The sequence below is a fragment of the Homo sapiens genome, chromosome 1 (genome assembly GCF_000001405.40).
Source record: "Homo sapiens chromosome 1, GRCh38.p14 Primary Assembly".
NCBI classification, from domain to species: Eukaryota; Metazoa; Chordata; class Mammalia; order Primates; family Hominidae; genus Homo; species Homo sapiens.
This window is the reverse complement of record NC_000001.11, coordinates 215,035,111-215,052,004: the sequence shown is the minus strand read 5'-3', so window position 1 is coordinate 215,052,004 and position 16,894 is coordinate 215,035,111. Positions and strand designations below refer to the sequence as shown.

The window sequence follows — 16,894 nt, the reverse complement described above, 5'->3', positions numbered from 1 at the left end:
TAAATGTTTGCTGGATGAATAAATTACTGAATGTTAGAAATAATAATAAATGTTATCTGTTTGCAGGTGAGCATATTCTTTACTTAAAATAATATCTTGTTTTTATATTACCAAATCTATTCAAAACAATCCAAAATTTTCTTATCTCACCTCAAATTAAAGTATAAACTGTTCTAATCACCTGCAAGATCCCCCCTGAGCTGGGAAACTACTACTTTCTTGACATGATTTTCTAACCCTCCCATGCCACACACTTCACTCTAGCCATATACGGATCTTCTTTTATTCCCAAACATGCTACATTCCCATTTCAGAACCTTGCATCTGCTGCTTCCCAAGCCTGAATGTTGTGCCCCAGATATCCCAGAACTCACTCTTTCATGTCCTCCAGGTTTCTGGTCAAGCATCCTCTTGTCATAAGGGCTGTCATCAATTACTTTATAGACAGTAATAAGAAAGAAAAAGCAGCTCCTGGCTACTGTCAGCTTGGAGCTGCCCTGGCTCTAATGGCTAGGTATGGCATTCCCCTTTTGAATATAAACAATTTTATAGTACACCCACATCTGACAAATTTACTCTGTAATATGATGGATCAAGACAAAAACAAGACAGCTCTGTAATTGTGTCTGAGCAGAGAAAAATTAATGAAACCCTCAAATATTTTCCTTGTTCCTGCTAATATGAGTGACTGCTTTATCTTTATCAATTTTAGCTTCAGTACACTTTGTTCCTTCCATCTTCCACATAAAATTATTAATATTAAGATCCATGCATGGTGGTGCACATCTGTAATCCCAGCTACTCAGGAGGCTGAAGGAGGAGGATTGCTTGAATCTAGGATTTCGAGGTGGCGGTATAAAATGATTGCACCTGTGAATGGCCACTATCCTCCAGCATGGGCAACAAGGCCCTGTCTACAAAATAAAAATAAATAAGCTTTCAAAAGGTTATTAAGGCAACCATAGAATTGCTTTGACTCTCTGACAGTACTGAATCAAGATCAAAACCACACTTCCTTGAAACATCCCCCAAATCACCTCATACAAGCTCAAATCCAATAATAAGCCCCTGTTAACAACCTATTACTGTGACATCCCACAGTTCCCCATAGTGTAATGATGCCGGGAGCTAATAAACTCAACTTTGTTCAACTACAAGTTTGTTTACAGTGGACTTGCTTGGAGGACATCGGCAGTAGCAACCCCCAACTCCAATGAGCACTTAACATGACCTTAAGTAAGATGATCATATATCTCAGTTTGCTGGGGAGAGTCCAAGATTACACCTCTTGATTTTATATGTCATTTGGTTATTGACAGTTCTCATCCTCAAAAATGTCCCAGTTTGAAAGGTAAATTGAACATAGCTTCAATCTGCACTATTTTTTTCAGTGGCTTGAATCACTATCTGGTACATCAAACTTTTTTTATTGGTTCTGTCTCTCTTTTTATTTCTCTCTCTGTATGCTCCCTTTCATCCTGTTCCTCTACTAAAATATGAATGAACGAAGTACAGGAACTTTATCTATTTGTTTTTATTGTACTGTCCCCATCACCTATAGTACTTCTTGGAACAGAGAAGTCTCCCAGCAGATATCTGTTGAATGACTTAACTAATGAATAGTTATGACATGACACTGCAAGAAATCTTCGAGTTCGGAAAACTTTTTGAAAAATCATTCAAACCCCCAAATCAGTCATTTTTCTATATACTAACATGTAGAAACTGACATTAAAATACAGTACCATTTATGATTACTCCAAATAAAATGAGATACTTAGATATGCCTTAACAAAATATGTATAGAATCTGTATGCTGAAAATTACAAAATGTTAATTAAAAAAATCAAAGGAGACAAAAAGTAGAATTTCATGGGTTAGAAGACTCAACATAGCAAAAATCTCAATTCTCCCCATGTTGATCTATAGGTTTAATACAACTCTTATCAAAATCTCACCAAGGTTTTTTATAGACATAGATAAGCTTATTATAAAATTTATGGAGGAAGGCACAGGCTCTAGGATAACTGAAACAATCTTGACAAATAAGAATAAAGTGGTAGGAATCACTCTACCTGATATGAAGACCTGTTATAATGCTATAGTAATTAAGGTAAGGTGATATTGATGGAAGGATAAACACATAGATTCTGAGAACATAATAGAGAACCCACAACTAAATCCACACAAATAGCCCCAACTAATTTTTCACAAAGATGTAAAAGCAACTTCATGGAGAAGGAAAGACTTTCATCAAATGGTAAGGAAGCAAGTGGACTTTCATTGGCTAAAAAAATAAATAAATAAATAACCTAAATCTAAACCTCATATTTTATTCAAAAATTCACTCAAAATGAATTATGTGCCTCACTGTAACATGTAGAGGTGTAAAACTTTTAGAGAAAAATAAGAGAAAAGCTCTAAGACCTAGAGCCATGAAAAGGGTTATTTGACTTGACACAAAAAGCACAATCTATAAAAGAAAAGAATTAATAAATCGGACCTCATCAAAATTATCAACTTTTGTTCAGTGAAAGAACCTGTTAAGAGAATAAAAAGACAAGCCACAGACTGGAAGGAAATATTTGTAAACCATATATCTGACAGTGGACTAGTATCTATAATATATAAAGATCTCTCAAAACAGTGTAAACAAAATCTTGATAGAAAATGAGCAAAAGACAGGAAAAACACATTTCACTGAAGTGGATGTAAGATGGCAAGTAAGCACATGAAAATATGTTTAACTTCATTCAGCCATTAGGAAAACGCAAATTAAAGCACAATACAATATCTGATAGTTACCACTATATATCTATCAGATAGGCTAAAATAAAACTTAGTGACAATATCAAATGCTGACAAAAATGTGAAGAAACTGGATCACTCATATAACGCTGATGGGAATGTAAAATATTATACCTACTCTGGAAAATAATTTGACAGTTTCTTATAAAAACATGATCCTAAGACCCAGCAATTGCATTCTTCCACATCAAGGAAATGAAAACTTACATGCTCACAAACACCTAATACAATGTCCATTGTGGATTTATTTGTGATAGCCAAATACTGGAAGTGCCCCAGATGCCGTTGATGGATGAATGGTTAAACAGTTTGGTACATCATGCCACGGGATACCACTCAGCAATTAAAACAAAGTATAAGCTATTGATACATGCAAACTCAGATGCATGTCCAGGCTGGGATGAATTCTCCCAGGCTGACGCAGCCAGAGCAGGGAACAGAGCTTTATGCATTAGTAGGGCTGGATTTTAATCCCTACTGTCCTCTTGGTTGAGCACTCAATGGTAAGGCATACTCCTAGCAAAAAAGGGCATACAATTTACTCTGGATATTATTGGGGAAAAACACTTGTGGCCCATTTGACTTGAATAAAATTTAAGTCAAAATTCATACAAGCCTTTTTAAAAAACAGAAATGTGAGAGAGGTTTTGTTTTATTTGTTGTTGTTGTATGTGTTTGTTGCTAAAGTATGATTCTCAGCAAGACATAAGATCAGCTGGTGTTAGACATATATTCAGAAAACCACAAAGGCTCTGAAGATTTTGCATGAAATTTTCCCTTTAATCACTAAGCATTTCTTTTTAATCTCACACCACTGGAGTTCTCATGAAAGCTTTTAGTCTGAATGCTACTCACACTTTGCTTAGAGAGAAAACAAAAAGATTTTCACAATATTTCTTCTTCAATTCTATGGTTAAGTGCTGAACTGATGACTTAGAGTCAATACCAAATTCACAATTGATAAAAGAAAAAAAGTATAACTTTTTCTGTAATTAGTAGTGATGTATCTGTTGATGAGGGATTGTACGCAGCTATGTGTTCATTCAAGTATGGGAAAAATAAAGACTGTTTTCTTAAGCCAAGGAGGCCAATATTAAAACCCAGGAATATCTTTGAAGGCCTGTCAAGTCAATAAACTTAATTGGAAATAATATTATCAGAATGTTCACTGACGTTACTCCATAAATTCTGGGTCTCTGATCAATATTGTTGGTAAAATTCCATGAAGAAAATAATATTGTGGGGGAATTCTCTGCATTTTCATCTACACACATTGACTTTCAAACTCTGCACAGTGTGTGAAACACCAGCTTATTTGCCTCCCTTGATACAGATCTAACCGCTATTCACAGAGTTCTATCTATAGACATAGAATATATCTGTATTGAAATATTTCATTCCATGTAAAAATTGTTAAGGGAAAATATGATTGATTAGATGTGCAAGATAAGAGCTGAGGTGTATGCATTATTAAAACAAGAGGAAAAGTTCAATTACTCTAACATGTAAAAAGTAATTTTCAGAAGCTTGGCAAATTTTCTAGGATATTTGAAGTTTTTCTACTAACAGAGGGAGCAAACATCAATACCATTGCTTACATTGCTTAATAGGATTGATGTATATTCTATCATCATAGAATCTTAATCATAACTTAATCATGAAGTTATGATTAAGATTAAAGACTTAAAAATCAAAGAAATCTAGGTTCAAATTTAGGTTCTGTTATTTGCTAGGTGTGTGACCTTGGGCAAGTTACTTAATCTCTCGAAACTTCAGTTCCTAAACCTTACTATGCCTCAACTCTAAAATGAAGATAATAATGTTAACTCTTTACTCAGTTGTTTTGATAATTAAATTAGAAAATTCAAAAATGCTAAAGTTCTGTGTCTTTTAAAACTAATGCAAAATGCTTAGCACAATGGCCACATGGCAAGTATTCAATTAAGACATTATTTTTATTAGTATTGTCCAAAACCCACTATTATTATGAGAATTTATGCTAACATAGCTGTCCATTTTCTGTGTTAAATCTTTTCAAGGAGAACATTAAATCGTATTTAATTTTCTGCAAGTTAAAATCAGGCAATAATTTCCTATTATGATGCTGAAATTTCCAATTTTGAATTTAAAAAGGAGCCACATTCTTAATGATTTTCAATGTTTTCCAGACTCTAAGAAGTTGTGAAATTAACTTTGACTTGATCATCTTAGATAGTTTCTAGAACATCACTATAGAGATATTTTTAACCCCGGAAACAAGAGATATATAAAGTCATCATTCCATTTTCATAAATATCAGTTTCTCTTTTTACAACAAGCTTAACACTGAAAGTGATCTATAATCTGCTCAAACTTCAATACTTCCTTGGATCAAAAGCTTGTGACAAGCAAGCAAATCCAAAGCTCAAACTCATATCCCATGGTAAAGTCAAGAAATATATCTTTTGATGTAATTTTTTTACCATTACCTCAGTCTTTAAGTCATGTTATTTCTGTTTTTCTAAATTTTACATAAGAGGAAGACATAATATCTTTATACAAAGTAATACAGATTTTAAAAGCTGAGAAAACTGATCTGAACCTATGAATATGGTGATAATCCAAAAAAACCTGTACCTGTTTATTCTAACAACAGCCTTCTCCTAACTGTGCTATATGTAGTTTTTGGCCTGTGAGCTTTCAAAGTTGAAAGTACAAGCAACAAAATGAGTATTTTATATCAGAAAATGAAGTCTCCCCAAGTTCTATATGCTTAAATACTAAGATCAAACTTGACCTTAGTCAAATATAGTCCCCAACCATATTCACAACACCTGGAAAATGTTAAACTGATATAGCATTGAAAACCAAAATTCATGAATATATACATATATTTGTGTATATGTATATATTCTTCGAGGATTTTTTCCCAAATATATACCTTTTTATGCCAAGGGCCATCTCTATTAAATGTAGAGCTGCTGTATTTCTCAAATCATATTTTCCAAATCAAAACCATCTGGTAACAGATATTTCTATTCACTCCAGAGGACAATTCCATTAGGCCTATTTTCCTGGCAATGACCTAGAATTTACAAGTCTGAGTACAGCTTAAAATCTAAATATGTGTAAATCACTCCCGTATTGTGAACAATTCTTGTTATACCAGATTTTTCCACGGTTACATGAACAATTAACGTGTGTGATTCAACCAACAGAAAGCTGTAGAATTCCATGTGTTACATTCTGGAGGTATTTTTACAATATACTATGTGTCTGTGTTTTGCTAGTGGTGAATTCTTCAACAGAGTAATTACTGCAAATTGACTGTACTGATATTAGCATCAAGGGACACATTCATAAAACACACATCAGCACTTTTACAGAAGTCACACATTTGTTAACACGGCAAATCCAAGGACAACAGAATGGAAAATTTATTTACAGGTGAGAGCCCAGGAAAACCTATTGTGAAGACATAGGGCATCTTGAATAACTATTAAGGGGCATTATTTTATTTAAAAAAATTATTCAAGACCACATTTTACACAAATTAAAGAGGGCTTTTAGATAATTCAAGGACAGGTTTTTCATATGCTGTCTATCAAACCAAACAAGGGTTATATGGATATTTTGAGTTATTTCATATGCATTTAGGAATAACCCAAGATATGCATAATCCTTAAAAATCATTATCTCAAATATTACAAGGTCATCTTTCGATGAACAGCAACAAGCAGGATTACAGTTCTCTTTGAATTTTAGTTTGCAAAGGAAAATTGTCACATTCAGAAATGAAATTAGATTCCTCCAGCAGCTCATACAGGGACATAATTAATAGTACAAAGACCCAGACAAATTACACCCCAACACCAGTATTGGGTTTCATATTGGACTACCAACGGTTATTCTATTGATAAGAATAGTTGTTGCCTCACAATTTGGATAGTCCCAAAGTTGCCTTTAACTCTGTTCATCTTTTTTGTTTTTTATGTGGTTTTTTTTTTTGGTTTTTGTTTGTTTGTTTGTTTTTTGAGACGGAGTCTCGCTCTGTCGCCCAGGCTGGAGTTCAGTGGCACGATCTCGGCTCACTGCAAGCTCAGCCTCCTGGGTTCACGCCATTCTCCTGCCTCAGCCTCAGGAGTAAGCTGGGACTACAGGCGCCCGCCACTGCACCCAGCTAATTTTTTGTTTTTGTTTTTGTTTTTTTTAGTAGAGACGCGGTTTCACCGTGTTAGCCAGGATGGTCTCGATCTCCTGACCTCGTGATCCACCCGCCTAGGCCTCCCAAAGTGCTGGGATTACAGGCGTGTGCCACTGTGCCCGGCCTAACTCTGTTAATCTTTTAAGAAATTCTTGCCAACTCGTCATCAACACACGTGTGCGCGCGCACACACACACACACACACACACACACACACATACACTTATCCCCAAGTACCTAGTTATAGAAAACCACCACAGCCCATCAGGATCCCTAATTATGGTCCAACTTTTATATGTTCCCATAAAATGGTATCAATTTGTAGTTCCACTTATTCAGGATTTCACTTTTTACTGCATGGTATTATAACCGGTGATAATTGGTTAATCTATTAATTAAATCAATTAATGGGTTACTTTGCCAAGCAACCACAACTTCTAATATGCACCCTAATAGGAAATATCTACCTATAATATAGGTATTATTGTTATTATTATTATTCCCATTTGATAGGAGAAAATCAAGAGACACAGAGAACTAACATGCAAATCCAGGTGCTGACTCAAAAATCCCACGTACTTTCATCAATTACATCATTCTTTCCAAAGGGAGTATTGAGACATTACTAGGTGTTTTGTTCAACTAAACCAGGGAAAGTCTGGGCTAAATAAAAATTAACAGATTTCTTCACCACCGGAATTCCTAGATCTGATGTTTTGTACAAAGCACCAAGAAGGGTATAATATTTATACTGCTTCTGAAAATTATTAACATGTGGTTGCCCTTTTTCTCCCTGCTCAGACTATCATGTACGACTAGTATTTTCCTAAACATACTTTGGAAAAAAAACACATTAAAGTATATGGTTCTTTTCCATATTCATTAATTTATTGTACTTAAAGAACCTGTACATTTTTGTAACCTTGTGTCCTTCTTTGACTCAGCAAAATTTCTCTACTATTTCTTATTTTCTTCCATTATTCTTATTTGTTATCTTTGTTTGATCCCCTTATTTTCTATATCTTTTGGAGATTCTTATTATACATCTATCTTTTCTCTCATCTTTTTTATTGTGTTAATATTTTTGGCATCATCTACAGATTTCTTGCATTTGTCGTTAATGCTGCTAAGTCAATTTGGGGGAAGAATCTAACTTTTTGTTTACTACCCCAAGATTTCTTTAGACTTCTTATTGTGGTAAAATATATATAACAATAACATTTTAGCATTTCATCCAATTATAAGTATACAGTATATGGCATTAAATACATTCAGATGGTTGTGCAAGCATCTACCATCATACATCTACAGAATTTTTTCATCTTCTTCAACTGAAACTCTGTACCTGTTAACCACTAACTCTGTTCCTCCCTCCCCCAAGCCCATGGCAACCACCATTCTACTTTCTGTCTCTATGATTCTGACTACTCTAGGTATCTCATATAAGTGCAGTTGTATTTGTCCTTTGGTGAATGGCTTGTTTCACTTAGCGTAATGTTCTTATGATTCATCAATGTCATAGTATGTGTCAGAATTTCCTTCCTTTTGAAGGCTGAGTAATATTCCATTGTATGCATATACCACATTTTGTTTATCACCCATCTGCTGATGGATATTTGGGTTGTTTTCACCTTTTGGCTATTGTGAATAATGCTGTTATGAACATGGTGTACAAATATCTGTTTGAGTCCCTGCTTTCAAATCTTTTGGCTGTATGCCCAGAAATGAAATTGCTGGATCAATGGTAATCCTATGTATAGTTTTTTGAGGAACTACCGTACTGTTTTTCACAGCAGCTATATTTTACAGTTTCACCAGCAATGCACAAGCATTCCAGCTTCTCCACATCTTTTCTAACACTTCTTAATTTTTGCTTTTTTCCCTCTAATAGCTATCTAAGAAGTCACTTGCATTGTAAGAAGTGATTTGAATATTGACTGCTAGACCTGTGAGGGCACATACTGGTTTATCACATGATCATGGGCACCTGGAGAGTAGGGAATACACAGAGGCTGCATAGCAATAAACATAGTAAATGTTTTTTATACAATGTCATAAGAGATAACATTAAATTCAATAAGAGAGCCTAGAATGAAAGGATACATTGGCATTTTGTCTTGTATCCTTGTAAGTAGGAGCCATTGTGAATTTAGAAAAAGTTAATTAGGCTAAAACACAGGTATTTGCAAAAAATTTTCTGGAGGTAAGCCCACTTAGGAAATGGCAAGATAAGTCATGATTTTATGAGAGAATAAAGTAGGTACATCAACCCAAGAGGTTTATAAAATGAGAGGCAGGATGTGATAAAAGAGGGAGAAGTAAAAGGTGACACTAAGTTTAGTGTCTTGAATAAGCATCAAGCAATAGTGCCAGTGACTGAAATTTTAAAATGTGATTGTAAAAACAGAGTGTTTGTTCTTTCTACTCTTCTACTCTTATTCTTAGTCAAATTAATTCAGTGCTTCCTTTGTCTACTCATTTTACTTCTGCTGATGCCCTTTCTCAATATTTTATTTGGACCAGAATATGTTCTTTGTTTCCACAAATCATCAGGCAGACTTTATCACTGACCCATCCTATGACACTCTACTTCCTCCATGAACCTTACCAAGTTTCTTTTCCTATCCCTTGTTTTCTTATCCAGGGCCTCTAATGACAACACCCCGTCTGGGCAACCCACATCTACAAAATGCAACGGAATGATTTGTTCAGTACTTGTGCCCCTGATCTTATGTCCTATCTGTGTCTTTCTGCATAAATATTATTTGCTCAGTACATGTGCCCTTGATCTTATGTCCTATCTGTGTCTTTCTGCATTTGCTTAGCATACAGCTTATAGCATCTGATAGGGCTTGGCTCACCTTGAATTGCAGCTCCCATAATTCCCACGAGTCATGGGAGGGAACCCGTGGGAGGTAATTGAATCATGGGGGCAGGTTTTTCCTGTGTTATTTTTGTGACAGTTAATAAGTCTCATGAGATCTGATAGTTTTATAAGGGAGAGTTCCCCTGCAAATGCTCTCTTGGCTGCCACCATGTAAGACGTGACTTTGCTCCTCCTTCCCCTTTTGCCATGATTGTGAGGGCTTCCTGGCCATGTGGAACTGTGAGCCCGTTAAACTTCTTTTTCTTTATAAATTACCCAGTCTCTGGTATTTCTTCATAGCAGTATTAAAATGGACTAATGCAGTATCCAACCTGATGGTCTATGACAAAATGATGTTTAACAGGCTGTGCCCTTTCCTTAAGTTACAGACCTGAAAATATAGCTTGCAATCTTATTGGCTCACCTGAAAATCATCAATGGTAGAAATGAAGTCTTAATTTTGTGCACAATCCAGGCACATATAAATTAAATAATTCAACACATAGTTTAAGGACAAATATCTGAGTTTAAAATTCAACATTTTCAGCTAGCTAATATCAAGATCTGACTACATATGATTTTCTTGAGTGTCCACAGTAAGGTAGATAGAGATAATATGAATCCCAGAAAGTTTCCCAACCTCATTTTAGGAAAAAGTTAAGTTGGCCTTTCCTATCACTGTGGATCAGAATTGCTCACAAGAAACAAAACTTACCAACACTTGATTTTTACCTCTTTTTATACTTTTGAGCTCCTCTCACCAGCTAACTATGGGTTAGCACATACTATGTACCAGGCACTCTGTTATGAACTTTACGTGTACTATCATATTTAATTTTTATTACAACTTCTGGAAGTGGCTTTTATTATCCTCAGTTTATAGACAGGAAAACTGAGGCTTAGTGAAGAAAAGTTACTTACTCTAAATAAATCGCTAAGAAGTGGCAGAGCCGCTTACTTAATCTCCAAAAAGAAAACAAAATGGAAAAATGAAATGAGGCATAATCTTCTAAGTGAGTGTTTGATTTCTGACACATTGAGTGCTGATGCTGGACATCTAATGGTTTTCCTTAATTTAGCCAGAAATAAGATGGTAGATGAGGAGAAGAGTGAAACATAAGAATGCAAAAGCTTAAAAGGAAGTGAAGCCTTGAGTCTGAGGTCTCATGCTGTTGCTTGAAGTTCTCATTCAGACCTTCTTTGCTTGGCTAGTTCAAGTTGGGGAGCGACTAAAGAGCCCTCCACACACAGCATGGTTCCTTCACATTTGCCAAACACAGATGTTGCCCAAACAGTGGTGTCCTGTCAAATGTTGGATTTGAATCTCAGTCTTCAGAATTTGACATGTCTGTTGAATATTTTAATGCTGCTGGGCATTGAAAGTTGATATCCGGCTGAGTCTCAGTTACAGATGTGAGAACTGGTTTGCTCAAGACCTCATAGCTAGCAAGTGGCCACACTGTATCTAAACCCACAAAGCACTTCCTACTACATCATGCCAGTTCACAGAGGTAGTCTTCACTTCTAGTGATAGCCACTTGCCTGCTTCATAAGCAGATACTTCCGTTAACTGGAAGTATCTCTGTTTCTATTAAGCCCCAGGATCCCCATTAGTCACACAGTTATGTAAATTGAGGCTCTGAAGGAATAATTATCTTTCCTAATATCACACAATTACTTAGAAGCTGAGCCACATCTGGTGTAATCCTAATGAATAATGTCTTTAAAGTCAAACTGGCCCAGGCTCAGATTCCATCTTGCCATTGAACTAGGAGTGTGACCTCGGGCAAGTTATGCAACCTCTCTAATCATCTGTTTTGTCATCTGTAAAGTGGAAACAATAGTATTATTTGTCTTATGGACACATTTAAGAATTAATGGTAACAAGTTTCTAAGGCTGATAAATTATTATTTTCTTATTAGATAAGGGTATAAAGCAGAGATGGGTTAAATAACTCACCTAACATCCCATAATGCTAAGTGGGGAGTTCACATCCAACCCAGATTTCCTGACTCAAAAGCCTGTGACCATGGTGTCACTGTAATGTAATGTAAAGTACTTAGCACGGGAACTGAAATACATTAAAACCTCAATCCAGAGCTCCTTCTCTTATACCATGCTTATCCCTCCCCACTTGTAAAAATGTCCAAAGAATGGCATTCCATAATGTTCTGCAAAGTGGCACTTCCAGATTGCTCAGTCTCCAGTTAATTGTAAATCACTGTAGAAATTCCACTCTCCCGGAAGGCAACAAACAACGATAGGAAAAGCCTTCATTCATCCCTCCTCTGTCCCAAGTACCTAGATCTCAGGATGTTCAGAGAAGATGAGTTCTCCAGGATGTAAATAAAAAATTATTAGAAAGCAAATTGCATGCGATGGCAAAGATCCAAGTTCTGAACTATCCACAGTCTGAATTGAGAAAAGCACTTGTAGAAAGGGAATTTAAAGAGAAAAAATATTTAAATCGTCCATTAAAAAAATTGTGTTTGGTTTCTGAGGATAATGTTAATGGTATTCTGAAGTCATAAAGTGTTCTCTTCTCTGCCTCCTCTCTAAGTTTTGTGATTACCTTTATATTTCAATTGAGTTCCTCTATCAAATTACAAAATAGCTTACCTTCAAGTTACTTCTCTTCAATATCCAATACTATGTTATTTGGCAATGATTCACTTCTAGTTTGGAATATAATGGAAACATAACTATAGATGGGGTTTATTGCAAAACTAGAAAAAAGATTCTCCGAAGTGGAGGTGCTAAGGAAATTATTATATAACTCAGTGGCTTCTCTGATAAGTGGCTGATCGAGCTACCCTTCATCTTTCAAGATTAATTTTGTTTTTCAAGATTAGCTTGTTAAAAGAGGAGTATATTCAAGTTGGAGTAATTTTTTTTAGGTCAATGTAGTTGATAAAGGTTAAAGACCAATCAGGACACCAAATGGCACTCTCTTGTTAGCTTTAGTGTATGGGCAAGACTTACAAATTGACTCCAAATTTGATTTTGCATTCTTATAGATAGTCTTAAAACAAAATGAATAATTACTATCTGATTTGTATCTTGTTTTCTTTCAGGTACAAATAGTAGGCACCTTTTCATTTCACCGACATTGTCAGTCCAACCTAAATTCTACCCGAACTGAAATCTTCATTCTTTTTTTTTTCATAGCATAATTGCTTCCATGGCAACAACAAATGTGAGTATTCTCTGCTGCAGGTAAAAATGATCATAACATATTGATAAACCATCTTAAGATTCCATTTTTATGTAAATGACCTTAGAAGAGAGAGAGAGGAGAAATAGAAGAAATAAAGTGGCATTCAAAAAGCAGAAGTGCTGGGAATAAAATGTTTTTCAGTGGTTTCAGTGATGTTTAAAGAAGGATCGAATTGAGAGAAAATTTCAGATAATCATACACATTTATTATTAATGAAGAACATTTCTTTAAAATATACCAAGGAACAAAGGAAAAGGCTTCCCTGTTCTAGAAGTATAATCCATTGGTTCTGTTTTTATGTCCCTTAGCAAACTCATTGGGAACAAAATTAGATATATAGAGATTAAAAACAAGGAGTGACTCCAGAGCTTGTCTTCAATGCTGGAAATGTTAGGTGAATCCTTAGACAGAACTTTCTAGATGATGTTCACAAATTTAAATTTAAAGAATAAAGTTTGGACCCAGAAAATGGAAGGGGCTACTCCCTGAACATACTATCTCCATTCACTCTCAACTCTTACCACAGTTCTCTATCTCCTGAAAGCCCAGCACCTGCTGGAAACAGCAAGTAAGACCTTCCTAGATGACATGAACAAAAGAGTCATGAACTTCCTTCATGTGGGACCTGACTAAAGCTCAGAGGACAATATTGATGAGCCCTAAGGCAAGGAAATGAATGAGGACTACCATAGGGAAGGCTTACTTGCTGAGATTCTTAAAGCCCTGGAGGGGACTGGTGAGTCTACAATGTTCCTAATGAGATTCAGGGTCTCTAATCTCTGAAAAGTTGAAGATAAAAATAAAGATAAAGAGTTGAAGATAAAAAGGTAGACTGAATTTTCTGCTCTTGCCCCAAGATTAGGAGAACATAAGGAGACTGAAGAGCTAGAATCTTCTTCCTTGTGTCTTGGAAGAAGACTGACAACCTACATCACTGAACACACCAGCTGCCTTCTACCACCTAAGGTATATCTCAAGATATACCTTAGGTATATCCTAAAGGATATCTCAAGAAAGAGAGAAAATATAAATAACCATAATTATGAATAAAAGAAATTACTACAGATTCTACAAGTCTTAAAAAGATAATAAGGACATATTCAGAAAAAACAATGCCAGTCAATTTGATAAAATTGGCAAATACTCTGAATAACACAAATTATTAAGAATTATAGGAAAAACTAGATAATCTTAATTATATTACTATCTTAATATTCATTATTAATTGTTAAATAATTAAATTCACAATTTAAAACCTCCCACAAGGAAAAGTCTAAGCTCAGGTAACTTCACTGGTGATTTCTGCCAAACACTTAGTAAGAAATAATATACACAACTCTTTCAGAAAATAGTGGAGAAAGGAATTTTAACATATTTAACATTTAACGTATGAGGTCAAGATAACCCTTATCGAAATCTTGCAATGTCATTATAAAAAAGAAGATGTGAAATCAATATCCCTCATGAACTTAGACCTATAAATCCTGAACAAAATATTAATATCTCAAACCCAGAAATATATAATAAAGTCAATTCATCACAACCAATCAGACTTTATTTCAGGAGCATAAGATTGGCTTAACATTTGAAAATCTATCAGTATAACTCACCTCATTGAAATAATAAAGGATAAAGTAAAATCATACAATCATTGGAATAGATATAGAGAAATCATTTCACCAATCATTCTTAATCACAAAGAAAAAGCTCTCAGCAATTTTCTAAACCAGATAAATAATTGACTACGAAAAGAAAACAAACAAGAAACACTAAAACCTTATGGCTCGTAGCACATTTAATAATGAAATATTGAATAATAAATGCTTTGCCCTTCTAAGATCAGGAGCAAGATGAGAATATTCATTCTTACCACTTCAATATTGGACTGGGATTTTAGCAAGTACAATAAGGCAAAAAAAAAAAAAAAGGAATAAAAGGCATTAAGAATGAAAAGGAAGAAGTAAAATAAATCTACAGATGGCATCACTTAGTAAATTCTAAAGCATCTACAAAGCAAATATTAGAACAAATAAGTGAATTTATCAAGGTTGCAGGATACAAGCTCAAAACATAAAATCAGTGTAATTTCTATATACTAGTACAAACAATTGGAAAATCAAATTAACTAAACAATAACACACACAAAAACATCAAAATATATGAAATACCAAGGGAAAATTTAATAAAATGTTTGTAAAATCTGTACATTGAATACTACAAAACATTGTTCATAAGCAGCAAAGATTTAAGTAAATGGAGAGTATATTCAAAGATTAGATGAATCAATCCTGTTGACATAAATATTCTACCCAAACTGATCTACAGATTTAACACGTGTCAATTCAAAATCTAAACAGGCACACTAAAGAAACTGACAAGCTGATTCTAAAATATATTTTAAAATTCAAAATATATAGAATAGCTACAGCAAAGTTAAAAAAAAAAGAACAAAATTGGAGAACTTTAAACTAATGTTAAAACTTTTTATGAAGCGAATGTTAAGATGGGGCCATGCTGATGTAAAGATAGAAAAATAGATCAATGGAACAGAATAGAAGTTCAAATGGAGACTTACACATAGATAGATGACTGGTTTCACCAAAGGCATCAGAGAATTTCAGTGGAGGAAGGGAATGTCCTTTCAACAAATAGTGCTGGAACAACTGGATATCCATATGGAAAACAAATGAATCATGATGTTTATCTCACCATACACACTCAAAAAAATCAATTTGAGGGGAATTACAGACCTCAAAGTAAAAGCTAAAATTATAAATTTTCTAGGAAAAAAAAAAACACATGAGAGCATCTTCATAACATTGAAGTAGGCAAAGATTTTTTTACACAGTTAACAGAGAGCACTAACCATAAAAAAATTATAAATTGGAATTCATCAAAATTAAAACCTTCTGCATATCAAAAGACAGTAGACTAGGAAAATATGTTTCCTATGCATATATTTGACAAAGGACAAATACTCAGAATATATTTAAAAAAAAAACTCCTCAAAACCAATCAAAATCCGCAATACCAAATGCTGATAAGATGCAGAGCAATAGAAACTCTCATTCACTGCTTTTGGAAATATAAAAATACACAGCTGGGTTCGAAAGTAATTTAACATTTTCTTATAAATTTAAACCTATACTTACCATAGAAACCAGCAATCTCACTTCTATTTTCACAAGTGAATTGAACACGTATGTTCATACAAAAACTTGCCCACAAATGTTTATGGCAGCTTCATTCAAATATTAAAAACTGGAAAGAACGAAGATTTCATTCAACAGGTGAATGCATAAACAAACTATGGTATATCTATACAATGGGTTACTACTCAGGTGATTTGTGTAACAACGTGGATAAACCTTAAGTATATTTTGCCAGGTGAAAGAAGGCAGACCAAAAGACTACATATGTAAGATTCAATCATATGACATTATGAAAAGGGCAAAACGATAGGAAAGGAGAACAGATCAGTGGTTTCCTGGAATTGGGAGATGAAAAAGAAGACAACGAAGGAGCTACATAGAGTAATTTGTAGAGTGATCGAACTATTCTGTATGGCACTGGGATGGTAGATTCATAACTCTATGCACTTGTCAAATTCCCACTGAACTGTACAATACAAAAAGTGAACTCTGCAAACTTATAAAAATTAACCAGGATGTCAGGGGTTGACAGGATAGCATGTGGACTGTAACAAACAACTCTTACAAATGTTTGACATTACATCACTGAAAGGTAAAAATGCTTTTGACTTAACTTTGGGAAATTGTTTTTACTGGATACTATAAGTACAAAGACAAAATTATGTGT

General features: G+C 34.5%; 1 protein-coding gene across 2 annotated transcripts in view; it reads right to left on the bottom strand.

The window, feature by feature from the left end:
* KCNK2 (potassium two pore domain channel subfamily K member 2) overlaps nucleotides 1–16,894 on the bottom strand; it is a 231,549-nt gene that overhangs the window by 185,086 nt on the left and 29,569 nt on the right. The window contains exon 2 of one of the 2 annotated variants that reach the window (XM_017001249.2): nucleotides 15,651–15,738. The exons of the other annotated variant lie outside the window; for it this stretch is intronic. Within the exon in view, the coding sequence (XP_016856738.1) occupies nucleotides 15,651–15,654 (4 nt within the window). The 5' untranslated portion in view covers nucleotides 15,655–15,738. The remainder of the gene's footprint in view (nucleotides 1–15,650; nucleotides 15,739–16,894) is intronic. 2 annotated transcript variants of the gene reach the window in all.